General features: G+C 39.0%; 1 protein-coding gene and 1 long non-coding RNA gene across 6 annotated transcripts in view; one reads left to right on the plus strand and one right to left on the minus strand.

The window, feature by feature from the left end:
• LOC101927157 (uncharacterized) overlaps positions 1–17,963 on the plus strand; it is a 76,511-nt gene that overhangs the window by 11,365 nt on the left and 47,183 nt on the right. The window lies entirely within an intron of this gene.
• The window catches only part of CNGA1 (cyclic nucleotide gated channel subunit alpha 1), an 80,705-nt gene continuing 73,127 nt past the window's right edge, over positions 10,386–17,963 (minus strand). For all 5 annotated transcript variants that reach the window (XM_005248049.5, XM_011513623.3, NM_001379270.1 and 2 more), the window contains 5 exons: positions 17,780–17,821; positions 17,590–17,697; positions 16,450–16,557; positions 15,172–15,278; positions 10,386–12,238 (listed from right to left, as the gene is read on the minus strand). In XM_005248049.5, the coding sequence (XP_005248106.3) occupies positions 10,830–12,238; positions 15,172–15,278; positions 16,450–16,557; positions 17,590–17,697; positions 17,780–17,821 (1,774 nt within the window). In that variant the 3' untranslated portion in view covers positions 10,386–10,829. The remainder of the gene's footprint in view (positions 12,239–15,171; positions 15,279–16,449; positions 16,558–17,589; positions 17,698–17,779; positions 17,822–17,963) is intronic.

Raw genomic sequence — 17,963 nt, forward strand, 5'->3', positions numbered from 1 at the left:
CTACTCAGCCATTAAAGGAATGAAATAATACCTTTTGCCGAAACTTGGATGGAGATAGAGGCCATTAGTCTAAGTAACACAGGAACGGAAAACCAAAAACTGTATGTTCACACTTATAAGTGGAAGCTAAGTTACAAGTAGGCAAAAACATACAGAGTGATACAATCGACTTTAGAGAATCAGATGGGGGAGGATAGGAGGGGGCTGAGGATAAAAAAAAACTACACATTAGGTAACAATGTACACTACTCTGGCCATGGGTGGGCTAAAATCTCAGAATTCACCACTATATAATTCATCCATGTAACAAAAAAACCACTTGTACCCCGAAAGCTTTGGAAATAAAAAATTTTTTAAATATCATTGCTGTTATTTTTACTTTGAAATTTCAGATAGCATTTGAGAGAAACAGGTTTTTGTATTTATCAGAACAGACGGGTTAAATATTGAGAACTACAATTGTACATTTATATTTAATTTAATTTTTTAAAAAAGTATCCACAAGAATAGCTAAAAACAAAAAGACTGACAATACCAACTGTTTGCAAGAATATGGAGAAACTAGAACTCTCATACTTTCTGGTAGGAATGGATATTGGTTCAAACACTCAAAAAATGTTTAGCAGCATCTACTAAAGCTAAACATGGCCCACTACTAAAGCACTATGACCAAGCAATTCCACTTCTTTTTATGCACACACACGAAATGAGTGCATAGCTTCACAGAAACTCATGTTTATAGCAGGTATATTCAAGATAGCCAAAACCCAGAAGCAACTGTAATGTCATCAACAGGAGAATAGAAAAGTAAATTGTGATACATTAATAAAATGCTATGCAAAAAGATGCGGGTTCCACAGGGCCAACTGGAGGAGTTGAGTATGCTTGGATTTGGGTATACATGGGGATCCTGGAACCATTCCCCAGAGTATACCAAGGGACGACTGTCATTGTATTTATTCATTACTGACATGTTCTCTTAATATGGATTGTTTTTGCCAAAGTATTCATACGCAACTTCTCAAATACACTTATACTTGATAAGTACATCTATACTTAGGTAAACATTGTGCCAGTTACCAATGTATTGCCTCTCTGCTCCAATTCATGTTTACGTATATGCCGTGTAACAGTTGACACTCCTTTCAGCATCTCCACAGAGCACGATGTTCTGTTTTTGCAGTAGAGGGCGCCGAAGAGGCACTGTGAGAAGGACCGTGGTCTCCCAGTGTTTCTGACTGCTACACAGAATGTCTGCGATCTTGCAGCCTCGGTCTGGACTGGCGATAACATTCCTGAGCAGTTTTCGTACGGGGAAACGGGCCCCAAAGCCCTCCGGCTCACCCCAGGTGCCCTAAACCACCACTCATTTTGCTACTGACATTTCCTCCCGCAAGTCCCAGCACCTGCCTCCACTCCCACCCATTGCAGATCCAGGCACAGCTCACCTGTATCCCAGCCCCTAATCTCTATGTGCAAGTGCACCCTGATCACTGATTACTGTGTTCTACATGCATTCCAAAGAGTTACTTCCTACTTGCCCAGGACTGCAGACCAGCTCTGACTAGAACAGACCAGCAAGCGTCTTTGCTATCCAGTGTGCTGAACTACACCTTCTCCAATAAGATCTGAACTCTTATTGTCCTTCCTTATGTACCTGCCCCCCCAGGTCTAGAATACCATAGTTTCCTTGTAGTTGTTCTTTTATCGAAGTTTAATAAATCTTTGTATTAAATTTAACCCAATGTGTGCTTTTGTTGTTAATTGGACCCTGACTGACACAGGCACTGTATACGTTTTATATCAATTTTACTTGAAATACTAATATGACCCAACCAAACTTCAGGAATGAAAAGAAAAAGGAAAAAGAAAAAATATCATGAAGTGCAAATTTACCAGGCAAAATAAGAAAGCTGTTCTGCCATGGGTAGGGCAGAGGAAAATTAGAAAAATTAAATTATCACATTGACTTTCCTAGCCAGCCCTAACTTTAGGGGACTGAATCCTTTTTTGCACTACTTAGTAATACTCTAATGATTAAAAAAGTACTGTATAATATGAATTTCATTAAAATAAAGTAATTTGAACAAAACTGGACTATCATTTTACTTTTTTAGAATAACCTTCATAACAGAGAAAATAAACTAAGCACTCACCATATTTAATATACATTTTTTCAAATACTCAGCTAAATAATTTGTCAATCAATAAGTAATGGAGTCTAACAGATATTCAGTATTGTCAGGCACTGGACAGACATACTCAGAGATGGGAAGGGTTCACTGTATGTAAAGTACAAAGGTAAGGATAAAGAGGTCATGAAGTTGCTGAGAACTAAGAAAATGATTAAGGGAAAGGTGAGATTTGAATGGAAGGAGGCATTCTGAGTGGTAGGGATGTCATGAGTCAAAGTTTAAATATGAAAATAAGCATAGCCCGTGCTTGGGATCAGAATGGAGAAAATTCTGTTGAATCCCACAGCCAAGGTGATAAATAGGGTTAGCAAAGACCTTGAAAACAGAAGTAGAAAAGTTTGGTCTCAATGTTGATGGTAGATAACCATTATGAGGTTTAAGAAAAGGGAGGTAACATCATAAAAGCAATATTTTTCAGGAAAACTAATATAGAGATAGGATGCTTTGAGATGGGGAGGGCCTTGTGGTAGAATGGCCAACTAGAATTAAAATTGTAGTAGGTCTGACCCCCGGTTTACAAATTCAGATGTGCAAATAGTAATGCTTCAGTAATTCTAGTCTTTCAATCAACTTAATTTGAGCTCTTGAGTTTTATCTTTCCAGGATGGGTTGGAAAATTTACCTGTTTATTAATTAAATCAAGAAACGTTTATTGATCCCCTATTATATCCCAGGCACTTTCCAGGCACTGGAAATGAGCAATACATAAAATAAAGGACCTGTACTCATGGAACTTTCGTTTTAGTAGAGAAGACAGATAATAAACATATAATGTCAAATTATGATCTGTGCAGGCAGATAAGGTGAAGACGGTTTGAATTTAAATCAGGTAGTTCCAGAAACCACTGTAATAGGGTGACATTTGAACAGAGACCTGAATAAAGGGACAGCATAAGCCACTGGACACTGGGGGAAGAATTTCCCCAGATGAGGAAATGGAAAGTATAAGGACCAAGAAAAAGTAATATATTTGGTGTATTTCAGGAACAGCAGGCAGGCTGATCTCACTGAAAGAGAATGAGCAGGCAGAAGAGTTGTAGGCAATTAAACTGGAGAGGTAATCAAAAGTCCTTTAATAGGTAGGACTATGGTGGGAATTTTTTATTTAATTTTTAGCAAGCTGAGGCAAGGGAGTTACATGATCTAATAATGTTTTTAAATGATCACAGTGGTTACTACAGGGAAATGGACCATTGCTGGAAGGGAAGCAAGAGTGAAATTAAAGAGACCTGTTAAGAGGCTACTGTACTTGTTTAGGTGAAAGGTGGTGGTTTGGACTAGGAGTAGAAAAGGTGAGTTATGGTCAGATTCAGGTTATATTTTGAAGATTGAGTTGACAACATTTACTGACAGATTAGATATTAGGTATGAGACTAAGAGGCAAGAAAAGATGACCCAAAGTTTTTCACCTGAAGAAGTGGTAGGTGCCATTTACTAAGATGGAGAATATTAGGGAAGGAACGGATTTGAGGACAATATCATGAGTTCTGTTTAGGGCACATCAAGTTCTCACCAAAGGATATATCAAGTATGTAGTTGAATATGCAAGTCTGGAGTTCAGAGGAGAGGGTGGAGATACAAATTTGGCAGTCTTCAACACATAGACATTATAAAGTGTCATAAGATATATGAGCTCACTTATGGAGTGAATATCATGGCTACACAATACTTTGATATTTAAAGACCTGACGATTAGGAGAAAGCAAGGGAGATGGAAGTTCAGGCAGAGAACTGACCAAAAGCCAAGTGAAGAAAGTGTTTCAAGAAAGAGGGAGTGATCATTTCTGTCAAGTGTTACCAAGTGGTCTAATAAGTCTTGGACTGAGAACTGACCATTAGATTTAGCCATATAGGGGTCACTGGTGACCTTGATGAGAGGTTTCAGTGGAGTGGTAGTAGCAAGTCTTAATTCTGTCAGATTCAAGAAAGAACAATAAGAAAAAAATTCTACAAGAACAAATGCTACAAAATAGTTTTACAAGAAAGGAGAACAAAGAAAAAGGGTGTTAACAGGAAACAGAAATGGGGTCAAGCATCAGGTATTAATATTTGAGGCATTGTGCACTATGGGGACTATCCCATAGAGAAGGAAAAAGTGATAACACGTGGGAGGTGGAGTGGAAGATAGTAGAAAAGAGGATCTAGAAACTTGTGCACAAGTGAAAGTTGTAAACTTTCCATAGGAACTTGTAGTGTTTGTCCATCGTGACATACTTATCTCAGACATTCTTCAGCCCGGCCCCCATCCTGGATACTGTAGTGGAAAGTCACTAAGATCTAATGTGATCGCCACTGCACTGGAGAATGCTTCTAGTTATTGTCATCAGAGTGCAGAGCCCACATGTCCATATGGTATGGATCCTTCAGGTGCAGTGGCTCTTTGTTCAGGGCTGTGTTTTGAGCATGAGACTCTTTTGGAAACTGGAAACTTCAGGTCTGGGGTCCATATTTCTCTTAGCCTTTGTGTTTCTGGACTAGAGTCCCATGTCCCCTCCCCATCACTATTTATTCACATATGGCAACTATTCTCTAGACCTTCTGATAAAATATATTCAGGGTTCACGAAGCAGAAATTCGTTCAACTATCTATGCTCAGAAGCCTCGTCATTTTCTACAAATGCAAGAAAATATTTCTTAAAAGTTATTTCTAATGAAACCAAACCTCTTTGGCATATTTTTGCAATTTCTTACTGGCTACAAAACTCCTTATGTAGGTCTCAATTGCATTTGATTTCTTAGAGCCAATCATTTTTAAAGTATAATTTGAATTATTCTACCCTAAGTGTACTCCAGTGGAATTTATTCACACTGAATTTATCCAGTGGAGTTTATCCATACTGAGTAAAGCCCATCCACCGGTATTTGTCCTCTTTAGGCATTGTGAAATTACATGTGAATGGAACAATGGAAATACTGGTAATGTAGATCAATTAATTATCAGGGTTTTTTTGTTTTGTTTTGTTTTGTTTTTTTGTAAAGTGAGGAGCTGGAAGTGATTTATTAAATTTTAAAATGAGTGGGGAAAATTATATTCCTATCCTAGAGACCCCCTGATAACAGTGGGCAAATGTTCATCCCTTGAGTGCCACTGGGTGGCTCATCTGTCATTCTTTCTGAGGAGAGTAAGCAATGATACCACTGGGGGAGATCATGGAACACCATGGACTTTGGTGCCACCAAAGTACCTGCACTCCTTGGCATCATGAGTCTTTGTGACAAATCCAGGAAACAGGCTCCCTGCTCTCTGAAGAAATAACTCAAGCAGCTCTTTGGACCAAGTCCAAGGTTGTCTGAAGCTCAGCCCAGATAAAACAAAAATGAACCTGATTGGAAAGAGGAGAAGTTGGAATCTTTGTGAGAAACCCAGGTAAACAGGCTCCCTGCTCTCTGAAGAAATAACCCAAGTAGCTCATTGGACCAAGTCCAAGACTGGCTGAAGCTCAGCCCAGATAAAACAAAAATGAATCTAATTGGAAAGAGGAGAAATTGGCAATCTGACAAGAAATCCAATATCAACTCTTTTAAGAACGAACATTGTCAGGCTGGTGAGTAATTTTGTGGTAAATTGCTATTTTCAGAATCCCAAAGGGATACATTGATGAAAAATGCATTCGTTCATCTCTAACCAGTCAGGAAATCAAGAGACAGACTTAAAATGTAATTCTATGAAGCATTGTCCCAAATTCACTCAACATGCACTCTGGCCAGCTTAAAGTAGAAACATATGGATAACAGGCATGTTATCACCAAGTAGAACCCCATAAGGCATTCAACTTGGTCTGTGTAGAAAGCAATCAAGTCCAATGTCATAGTGAAGTAAGCACTGAACCCAGGGTCAAAAGTCCAGGCTTTGCCACTGAACTAGCTGTGTGAATTTATACTGAACTCTTCTCTTTTTATTTTTTTGGAATAGTTCAAACATATCAAAAATTATAGAGAGCAATATACAGATATCTGTAGCTAGCTTTATCAAATCTTAACATTTGGATCCATTTGCTTAACATTTGGATCCATTTGTTTTAAAAGATATGAAAGAGCACAGACAGCTGAGGTGCTAGGTATTTCTCACCCTCCCTCCCATCTCATTGTCCTTCATCCCCCACAGAAGTAAGCACTACTCTGATTTCTGTCATCTGCCATTCTCCTGGCTGATATTAAACGTCTATATCATATGTGCAGATTCATAAACACGATTTAATGCTTTGTGTTTTTTTGTAAACTTTGTATAGGTGATATTGTGTGTACACATAAAAGTCAGCACTGACCAGGTGTGGTGGCTCATGCCTGTAATCCCAGCACTTTAGGAGGCCGAGGCTGGCAGATCGCTTGAGCTCAGGAGTTAAGTAAGACCAGCCTGGGCAACATGGTGAAACCCCAACTCTACAAAAAATACAAAAATTAACCCAGCGTGGTGGCAGATGCCTGTAATCCCAGCTACTTGGGAGGCTGAGGCAGGAGAATTGCTTGAACCTGGGAGGCAGAGGTTGCAGTGAGCTGAGATCATGCCACTGCACTCCAGCCTGGGTGACAGAGCATGACTCCCTCTCAAAAAAAAAAAAATGTAGCTAGGCCTGGTGGCACATGCCTGTCTGTAGGCCCAGCTACTCAGGAGGCTGAGGCAGGAGGATCGTTTTAACCCAGGAGGCAGAGGTTGCAATGAGCCAAGATTGTAGCCGCTACACTACAGCCTGGGAGAGGGGAGTAAACCCTAACTAAAAAAAAAAAAAAAATCTGGGTGCAGTGGCTCACCCCTGTAATCCCAGCACATTGGGAGGATGAGGTGGGCGGACCACGAGGTCAGGCGATTGAGACCAGCCTGGCCAACGTGGTGAAACTCCATCTCCACTAAAAATACAAAAATTAGCCAGGTGTGGTGGCACGTGTGTGTAGGTCCAAGTAGGTCCAAGTAGGTCCAAGTTGGTCCAAGTTCTTGTCTCATGACCAGGAAGAATTAGGCACATGGACACTGGAGAGTGAGTGGAGTAGAATTTATTAAGCGAAAGGAAAGCTCTCAGCAAAGCGGGGACGTGGGGTAGTGGGGGTGGTTCCCCTACCCAAAGGTGGGAAAAAGTCCCCCAGTATGGCTGAGCTTGGGGCCTTTTATGGGCTCAGAATAGGAAGTGCATGCTGATTGGTTTGTGAGTATGCAAAAAAGATTAAAGTGAAGACATCACTCAAAGGTGGGCACAACAGTGTAGAAAACCAACAGAAAAGGGTAGGTATATGTAAAGTAGGTGAAGGGTGGGGATCAATCAGAGGAAAGCATGCCAAACGGAAAGACAAGTTCTCAATCTGGTCTGAGAATTTAACTTGTAGCTTGGCTTTCAGGCTTTAAACTGTCTTCAGCTTGGAGGTGGTGTTTCACCAGGGACCTGCCCCTATCTGCCTAGGCATGTGGCTGCCTCCTGCCTCCCTCAGTGAGACTCAGTTTAAAAAAAAAAGATTCCCACTCTCACTCAGTTTCTAATACTCTACATTCTCAACAACCTTACTATTGCCTGGCCATGATTTTTGTATTTGTAAAATGAGTAGGGATGGACTAGATGATCTCTGAGGCCTTTCTACATTCTCCTTTCCCTTTCCTTGAATTCCCCACTTTCTTTCTTCTTCACCTAGAGATAAACTAGTTTAGGGGATATCAAACTATTTCTTTTGAGTCTACACACCTGTTGATTCATATTTTGTATTCTGAACAGTCTATAAACCTGGGCATCCAATAACACAGTTTCAGTTAACACGAGGAAGAACATTACCTAAATTTACAGTGTCCTAAGTAGGTTTATTTCCAATACTGTTAAATCAGTAGTTTTAAGACTTTTTAAAGCAATGGACTTTTTAAAAATAAAAATGTAAACTTAATTTTAATATAAACACCGTTTGCTCCATTTTGTCCCCTTTTGTTTATCTCTAGTACATGTCTTAAACATCAGTAAGCTTTTTGTAATGTAATTATTATTATTCCCTTGGTGAACTTCCTGAAATTAAGAAATATTCAAATGCTTCAATGTGTCTTATTACTTTATCAATTAAATTTAAATTTTAAATTTTATTTGATTATGTTTTCAGTTCAAACTAGTATATAGTTTGTATACTAAAATCTTCTGGAAATATTTGTGTCAGAGAAATATTACTCTTTATTGCCAAAGAGCACTGATTACACCGCTTGTAATCTCTAAACAGCTTCGGGCTTTCAAGGTTATAATTGTAGACCTACATTGCCACCTAATGGTAGGAAGCTTAATCACACCATATTTTAAGTTGGAAACGGGTTTTTTTTTTAATGTATGCAAAATGTTAAAGCAGTCTCTTCCTATGAGAACTCTATATTATAATAGAGTTGGCAGAAGAACAGGGTAAACACGCACCAGACTTATTGGCAAGACTAGAGATTGAATTTCTATTCCCTCACTGATCTACCATCTCTGAGTCCCAGCTCCTCTCAGACACAGGTATTAAGGATCTTCAGATTTCATCCTACCCACCTCCCCACCCTCACTCCTGTCCTTATGCCAAACCTGTTCTAGTCCTCATATGTTAAGATGCTAGTTCTGGATGACCAATTGGCGTCTAGAATCAACTTGGAATATGGCTGGTGTCTGGGTTGCTAAAAGATGAGTTCCTGCTTTAGCATCCACATGTACCCAAGTCAACACTCTTATCATGAATTTCCCTAAAGCCATATGTTTCCTGTCTTTAAAAAAACTCCCTGATGAAGCTGGAATCCAATTATGAACCTCTGCATTGCACCCCAGGTGCCTGTAAACTAAAGCCCACAGTGCAATTTCAGCACATCAGATTCCTCTCTACATGGAGGAGTCACGAAAAAAAGAATAGTTGGCTAAATTCGCCTTACCCCAAGACTTTGAGCCAAGAATCAGCCACCTGTCCAATGTAAGCATCAGCAAGACTATAGAGCTTGGGCCAGGGGTCACCAAATCAGAATCCTTGGCTATATCTCTAGCCCAGATGAGAGTCAAAGTATTCACCCTAGTCCTGGATGCTGTAATTAGGGGTGCTTCTTCTTGGGAGCCAGCTCTAAGCCAGGTATGTAACCCTCATTCTCCCTATCTTACCATATCTACCTGGTATGGGTAGCCAGTAAGCCTCTTTACACTGTCTTAGAGGTTTTTATAACAGGCAAGAAATGGCACAGAGAAAAAGAACAAAACGCAGATGAAGAAGTAATAACAAGAACAAGAAGAAAAAGAAAGGAAAAGGAGAACTTGTGTCAGAGAGAAATACGTTATGGTATTATATACAACGCACCCACTCCAGGACTAGACATTTCTGTAGTGAAGATATTGAAGGAACAGCCAAGATGAATGGAAACACAGGACTTCAAAGACATAATGTATAGTTCAATGGATATTCTACTGGTACAATAGAATAAAATATGCCATCAGCATACCCCAAGCAAGGTCTGTTTAAGTATCTGAAATGTCAAATTAACAAGAAGCCATTTTTAATCATGTCATTATAGATAGGGATAGAAATCTTCTAGTGATCTGTGTTAAGAAAGATTTTTTGAGCCACATCTGGGTTCAGCAGAAGATGGCTGATTGATTACCAATGTTTTCCACATCCACACACTTGCCAGATAGTTTCCTTTTCTTTTCTAGGACCATCCTCTCATTAACTCCTTCCTGGTTCTCTACATGCATGCTTCTCAAGCTTCAACGTGAATATGAAACACTTGCTAAGATGCAGATTCTGATGCAGTAGGTAGGGGTAGAGCCCAGGATTCTGCATTTCTGAGAAGCTCCCAGGTGATGCTCATGCTGGTCTCCAGAAATTTCAAGTCGCCTTTTTTAACATTATGACAATTTCCCTTGTTAATCGTCCAGAAATATTATTACTTTATCCCTTTTTCTTACTGCTGGCCAGGCAGAGAAGTAAAAAAATAGCCACTGCTGTCAGGTCTTAGTAATCAGAAAAAAATTAAAATTTAATATAAAAGATTCCTAAAACATTTTATGATTTTCAATGTAATATATCTCTATATCTATGTGTGTATATATATATATATTCATAAAGTCTGATTTATCATGCTTTATTGGTAAAAAGTTTCTCTCAACCACTCTTTCTCAGTCCTAGACTACAAAAATAATTGATTTTCCTTAAAATGACCCTGAAGTTCTGCAAGATCCTAAACTGCCTGCTAAATTATCAAATAACTCATTTTCACTACAGTTGCATAATTAATTTTACTTTATTGCAGTCTAATTTTTAAAAATGTTATCCCAAATATGATGTACATGGTAATTCTCAGTTACTTCAAATACGCTTCACTCAACAATGGAAATGGCATGAAAGTGAGGGCTACTTATTCATTTTTATGAAGAATATTACATAAAATGAGCGTATGTGAAAAAATCAGAAAATACAGACACTGACAAGTTAATCAGTTTATATCTTTGCACATTATCAGTTGTGAAAAATCCCAAGATATAAAGCTTTTTTAATCATAGTATCTCTCAGAGAGGGTGTGGGCCTTGTACCTTGCACCAAAGCACATTTTCCTCATGGAAAAATTTCCCAACTGAGTCTTCCTCTTCTTTTAAATTTTAGTTGATGTCAGTCATAGGATCAAAAGGATCATGAGGCATGTCCCTGTTAATGACCAGCTTTTCGGTTCTATGTAGAGTCGATGGGCCCACTTTCCGCTCCAGGTCCCTCAATACTTGAAAATTCTGTGTCAATAAGCGGTTTCAGAAATTTCTCAACCTTGGTTAATCTTTGTTTCAGTTTCTGCTGCATGGACTCATACTCAGCCAAGATTCGGGCAAACCTGGTTTGCAGGAGGTCTACTGACCCCTCCATTCGAGTAACCTTCTCTTCAAGATCTTTAGGATCACTGCCAGCATTTGCAATGTTTAGATCCAGTAGACCATCTTTCATTAAAATCTGCTTCCCTTTCTCTTCCAGCATAGTTTTGGCATCTGGGTACTCAGTTAGAGCTTCCATGAGGTCATCTTTTGAGAGACAGAACAGGTCTGAGTAGCCAATACTTTTAATATTGGCCGTTCTTCGATTGCCAGCTTTGCTCCCTTTAATGTTAAGAATGCTGATCTCACCGAAGTAGCTGCCATCGCTCAATACCACAAACTGAGTGACTCCATCATCTGCCACCACAGCGAGTTTGCCTTCCTTGATAATGTACATCTCTCGTCCGATATCCCCTTTCTTGCAAATATAATCTCCAGGACTGTAGACTTGGGGTTGCAATTTCAAGACCAACTCCACCAACAGACCAGCTTCACAATCAGCAAAAATGCGTACCTTTTTTAATGTGTCTAAGTGAACGTTGATGGCAATTTCTGCTCTTAGTTTATCAGGTAGATACTTTAAGACTTCTTTCTCATCAACTGTTTTTTTGTTGGTCCACAGGTAGTCAAACCATTTAATAACCCTCTTTTCCATATCTTTGCTTACATTTCGAAAATGCATATATTGCTTGATAGCATCAATTCTTGCTTGAAATTCTGCTCTGGCTGCATTCATGTTGGAAATCATAGAACCTATGTTACCAACGATGGTAGCAAAAATTAACACTCCAATTAGGAAATCAACCACCACAAAGACATACTCAGAATCCCTCACGGGAGGGGGTGTTTCACCAATGGTAGTCAAAGTCAGTGTAGACCAGTAAAGGCTGTATACGTATTTTCTAGCCAAACGGCCAAATTCAGGATCATTAATATCAGGGTAGACCCATGTATCATTTCCAAATCCAATAGCTTTAGAAATAGAGTAGAACACACATGCATTCCAGTGGATAATGATGACGATATACATAACAAGGTTGGAAATCCTGAAGATGTTTGGATAGTTTGTCCTTGTTTCTGTTCTCTGGAAGAACTCAAACATACGAGAGAACCGTAACAACCTGTTTAATCTAATTTCTGGATAGTTCCACCCTAACTTAAAATACAGCAAATCAGTTGGTATCAGTGACAGAACATCAAGTTTAAATTGCAAGTTGGATTTATATTTATTTATGAGTTTAAGTTCTTCCTTTACCAGCAGTCCTTGTTCTAGGTAACCTAAAATAGAAAATAAAATCAATTCAGTGTTTCTCCTTTTTATGTCATTGTGAATTTTTGTGAATAACTGTCAATTAACTTTGTTGAGGTCAACAGAAAAATTCATTTTCAATAAATATGCCTTTAACAATGTAATAAAATACAAATACTAATAAACCTATGGCTGTAGAAAATATTCTGCTGTAGAAATAAAAGGTAAAATTTTGGCCAGACAGCTCACATCTGTAATCCCAGTGCTTTGGGAGGCTGAGACCCAATATCACTTGAGCCTGGGAGTTTGAGGCTGCAGTGAGCCATGATAGCACTACTGCATTCCAGCCTGGGCAACAGCGAGACCCTGTCTCAAAAAAAAAAAAAGAAAAAAAAAGAAAAAAAGAAAAATTTTGTAAGTGCAAAAGTGAGAGTGTACAAATCTCTCAAGGTCTATCATCACCATCCAGGTAAAGCCATTCCTTTCATGAGTAGCATTCTTGTGATATTGTGAGATATATATATATATATATTTGGTCCCTGGCACAGAACTCTTAAAACTCTTGTAATTTCCTAAGCAATATGGTTACTAAGTGCATTTTTTTTTTTTTTGAGTCAGAGTCTTGCTCTGTCACCTAGGCTGGAGTGCAGTGGTGCAATCTCGTCTTGCTGCAACCTCCGCCTCTGGCTTCAAGCAATTCTTCTGCCTCAGCCTCCTGAGTAGCTAGGACTACAGGCACGTGCCACCACGCCCAGCTAATTTTTGTATTTTTAGTAGAGACAGGGTTTCACCATATTGGCCAGGCTGGTCTTGATCTCCTGACCTCGTGATCCACCTGCCTTGGCCTCCCAAAGTGCTGGGATTACAGGCATGAGCCACTGAGCGCGGCCCTAAGTCCATCTTTTGTTGTGGTATTTGGTTCTTGACCCCAGTTCCTGAAACAGAGCTCTTTATCCCTTGATATTTCCTGGGTGATAGAAATGTCTTTTGTTCTGGCCAGGTGTAGTGGCTCACACCTGTAATCCCAGCACTTTGGAAGGCTGAGGCAGGAGGATCCCTTGAGTGCAGGAGTTTGAGACCAGCTTAAGTCTCTATGATATTATTTGAAAGAAAAAAAGAAAGAAAGAAAGAGAGAGAGAGAGGGATGGAGGGAGGGAGGGAAAGAAAGAAAGAAAGAAAAGAAAGAAAGAAAGAGAAAGAAAGAAAGAAAGAGAAAGAAGAAAGAAAGAAAGAGAAAGAAAGAAAGAAGGAAAGAAAGAAAGAGGAAAGAAAGAAAAAGAAAAGTGTCTTTTGGTCTAATGAAGCAGCCCTTGGTGAGGTCCAAGATGGGGCTGGTCACCAGAAAGACTAAGTTATGTTTAGAAGCTTGGAACTTTTACCCCAACCTCCTTCATCCAGGAAAGGGAGAAGCACTGGAGACTGAGTTAATAGTCCATCATGCCTCCATGATAAAACCTCTATAAAAATCCCTGAACTATGGGGTTTGGAGCATTATCAGGTTAGTGAACACATCTATGAACTAGGAGGGTGCCACACCCCAATTCCATGGGGACAAAAGCCCCTGTTCTCATGACTCTTCCCGACTTTGCCCTATGTATCTCTTCATCTGGCTCTTCATCTGTATTCATTATCATACCCTTTATTAATATAATAGCGCAGTAAACATAAGTGTTTTCCTATGGTCTGTAAGTTGTGCTAGCAAATTACTAGACCCACAAGGGAGCTGTGGGAACTCCAATTTATAGCTGGTCAGTCAGAAGCACAAGCCACAACCTGAGACTTACGACTGGCATCTGAAGTGGGGGATCATCTTGGGAGACTGAGCCCTTAACCTGTTGGGCCTGTTCTAACTCCCGTTAGTGTCCAAATTCAGTTAAATTTTAACCCAGCTGGTGTTACAGAATTGCTTGGTGTGTAGAGGAAACGCCATATACATATTGGTCACCAGAATTGTGTTGTATTGAGAGCATAGTAACATACAATGGGTTGTTGTTTTTTTTCCCCACCGTACACAGTTCATGGAAGGTTTCCTGAACACGCTAGCAATGTGCCTAATAGCCCACGCCAGTGTCTTGTCAGAATCCCAGCCCTATCGTGGACGCTTGGGTACTTGCCCTGTGCTGTCTATTTTGCATATTCTTGCCTTACCCCTTCGATGTGAAGCATAAGTGTCCTTTGAGGCTGCATTTTCATCTCTCATTCTTGCTCCCTTAGACACTTGGGATCTTCCCTCCTATGCTGTTACCATGGGCTTGTGTGTTTTAAACCCAGCATTTCAGCCCTCTGATACATTACACTAGGAAAGGGATTTGCTCCTTCTCCTAAACTGGCTACCAAAGCTACAAATATGACAGGGCATTGTTCCAGGATACTAGTATTTAGAGAATGTTCAATTTTACGTAATGATTCTTAAAAGGTTATAGTCTGTGTATAATGGTTACATTTGCATGTGAGAGTGTAGAAACAATTAGCTTCTACCTACTTAACAGAAATACTTCAGAAGCTATCCCCTCTGGTCAATAATATCTCACCATAAACCACAAAGCTGAGTTATGTGCATTTTTCCTCCTTCTTATAAAATTTTGAATATGGCTCTGCTGAGGACAATGACATTTTTCCCCACGACTCTTTACATTATCTCCCTGTTAGCTTCCCCCTGTAGCTGGCAGAATATTTCTGCTCTCTCTATTCCTCTCGCCTGGCACAAAACCAATGAACAAGATAATGGAGGAAAGCCACATCTACTTGTCAAAAAGTTGCCTGGTAACTTCCTCTGAATCAGCTGGAGTCATCTAAGCCTATGAGTTTATACATCGTGACTCTTGCCTTCACCTGTGCCTTTTTCTCTAGAACAGATTTTTGTGAGTTTTCTTTGAAGAATACTTGGATTAGGAAATGTCAAATTACAATGCTAGAGATAAAAGCATGAAATTTTAAAATATTCAAAACTGAACATATTTACCTGTCCTTGTTCGTACAAACATATCGATTAAATAGACTATGTCTGATACGTAATCCAAAATGAGCCAATATTCTAGGTAATCAGATTGAAGTTCATCAAAACATGCTCTATAAAAAAAGAAACACTTGTATAAATAAAAAAGAAATGGGGGCCAATTTAAGTAAAAGTTCTCTTTGTATATTTTCTTTATCATGATGAGAAGCACAGCACACTCAGGCTAGGAGAGGTCCTTAGAGTCCTTTAATTAACCATGGCTCTCCCGATATTTTCCCTGAGTGGTTGGATTTCGATCCTCACACTTCTGAATTCCAACATCCTTTCCATGATACTAGTCAGCTTAGTAAAAACATCCAATAAGAATAAGTGGGTTGAAGGGTACAAGTATACAGTAAGACAGAAGGAATAAATTCAATGTTTGATAGCAGACTATACTTAACAAAAATGTATTGAACTTGGGTGATGGACACTCTAAATACCCTGACTTAATCACACTATATGCATTATATACAAGTAACAAAATTTCACATGTACCCGATAAATTTGTACAAAAAAATCTTTAAATAAATTAAAAAAATAAATGGCCTAAAACTAAAATCAAAATATGTTGGGTGAAACACATCGATCACCAGGTTCGTATTGACTATCTGTACCCAAAACGCTTTAGGAAGTTGTGCTTGGTCTTGGATGAGTGAGATGTTTACCATCTAAAAGACATTAAATCCTTGATCTTTTTCCACTATTGGCAACATTTTTTTCTCATAGGTCAAAGAAAATAGTTTCTCCCGATGTTCTAATTAAGTTATTATACAACCAAAAGTTTAAAAGTCTTCCCCTCTAACAACAGACACTGGGGTCTATTTGAGAGTGGCAGGTGGGAAAAGGGAGAGAAGCAGAAAAAATAACGATTGGGTACTGGGCTTAACACCTGGGTGAGAAAATAATCTGTGCACCAAACCCCTGTGACACGAGTTTACCTATAAAACAAGCCTGCACATGTACCCCCGAACGTCAAATAAAAGTTAAAAAAATTAAAAAATAAAAGTCTTCCCCGACCCCTCCATGCATCCCAGTACTGCAGACCCAATTATATTGAGAACTGAAGCACTTCCTCCTGATCCCAGGAAAACACACTGAGAATAATCTAGCCTCTCTTTACCACCTGCAGTAGAGAAAGGAGGTGTGTCCTAAAGGGCTCTAAGTCAAATTGTTTAGTCAGTGAACTTGGAAACTAGAAATGGGGTGAGATCCACAAAAAAAAAAAAAAAAAATTATAGACACCTGGCAATAACCATTGTCCAGTTGTACATAACAGGTAATGTGATGCAAAACAGCCAGTTGTAATATGTGTTTCCCGAGGGATCAATAACCACAACTTCTTTCTTCTCCCTAGCGGCAATTAGAAATAAAGGGGATAGTTACCAAGATACAAGAACATTTTTATTTACCATGTTAAACATCGTTATGCCCATCAACCACAATTAATGAAATGGAAGTAAGCTGGAGAAGCTCACTCTGCAGTGTGAAGATTAGCATGGCATAAGAGCACTAGTCATAAGAAAGTGGTTAGTGAGGGGTGGATAGATAACAAAACTACCAGTTTTTTTTTTTTTTTTTTTTTTGAGAGGCCAGCTATGTTTTATTAAGCTAAATGTTAAAGAGATGTGTAAAAATGTAAAACAATGCCACTCTTCTCATTAAGACCAGTCTTATATTAAAGCATACATTAGGTTTTTACTAAAGCCCTGGTTTCACTGCGATGCTGCAGTCAGTTGTATACCTCAGCCACTGAGAGGGAATAGTGGCATAGATCTGGGGTCCCCAACCCCCGGGCTGTGGGCCGGTACTGGTCTGTGGTCTGTTAGGAACCCAGCGGGCCACACAGCAGGAGGTGAGCTGCAGGGTGAGGGAGGTTTACTGCCTGAGCTCGGCCTCCTGTCAGATCAGCAGTGGCATTAGATTCTCATAGGAGCACAAACCTTATTGTGATCTGCGCGTGCAAGGGATCTAGGTTGCACACTCTTTATAAGAATGTAATTAAAATAAAAATTAAATTTTTATTTCAGTTTTTAAAATGATTGTAGGATCCTAGAAACCTAATCCTCCTTGGAACCTAAATATTTCTCAGCGATAAGTTATCTTCACCAATGCTTAGGGAAGAGAATTAACCCTAGCAGTGAAAATTCTTGAGAGAATTAAGAATAATGCTACCATTGCTAATTTTAGGGAAATTGGAAAAAGTTTTAATTCACTTCTGATAATTTATGTTAAATGTTTATTTTTCAATATTTAAAGACATTTAGTCTTTACACAGGGCTCTTTACTATAAAGTTTCTTTCTACTTTGTATTATGGAAAATCATCCCTGCATCTAAAACCCATCACAATTTCCTTCTATTTCAATGCCACTAAAAGTGCTTACTCTTCTTTCTTATCTTTGCTTTTCTCCTCTTTCTTTTTCTTCTCTTTGTCCTTTTTCTTCTTTTTCTTCTCTGGGTCGTTTTTATTTTCGTTTTTATCATCTGACTTGCTGAAAAAATTAAGCAAGTAGTATTAAAATACAGAAATGTTATGGGCAGAAAAATGTGGGGTAATTCTTGCCAAAGTCTTACCTCTTCTTTTCTTTTTTCTTTTTCTTTTTTTCTTCTGGTTCCCTAAAGAAAAAAATAATATATCTGTCACATAATCACAGTCTTCCACTCTTATTTACTTTCTTTTTCATTGAGCAAAAATCTCAGCTTTGCATTCAAAGACCTGCTCCAGTGCTCAAAACCCATCTGGTCTCTTACTGGAGGT

Source organism: Homo sapiens, chromosome 4 (assembly GCF_000001405.40).
Source record: "Homo sapiens chromosome 4, GRCh38.p14 Primary Assembly".
In the NCBI taxonomy this organism is placed as follows: domain Eukaryota; kingdom Metazoa; phylum Chordata; class Mammalia; order Primates; family Hominidae; genus Homo; species Homo sapiens.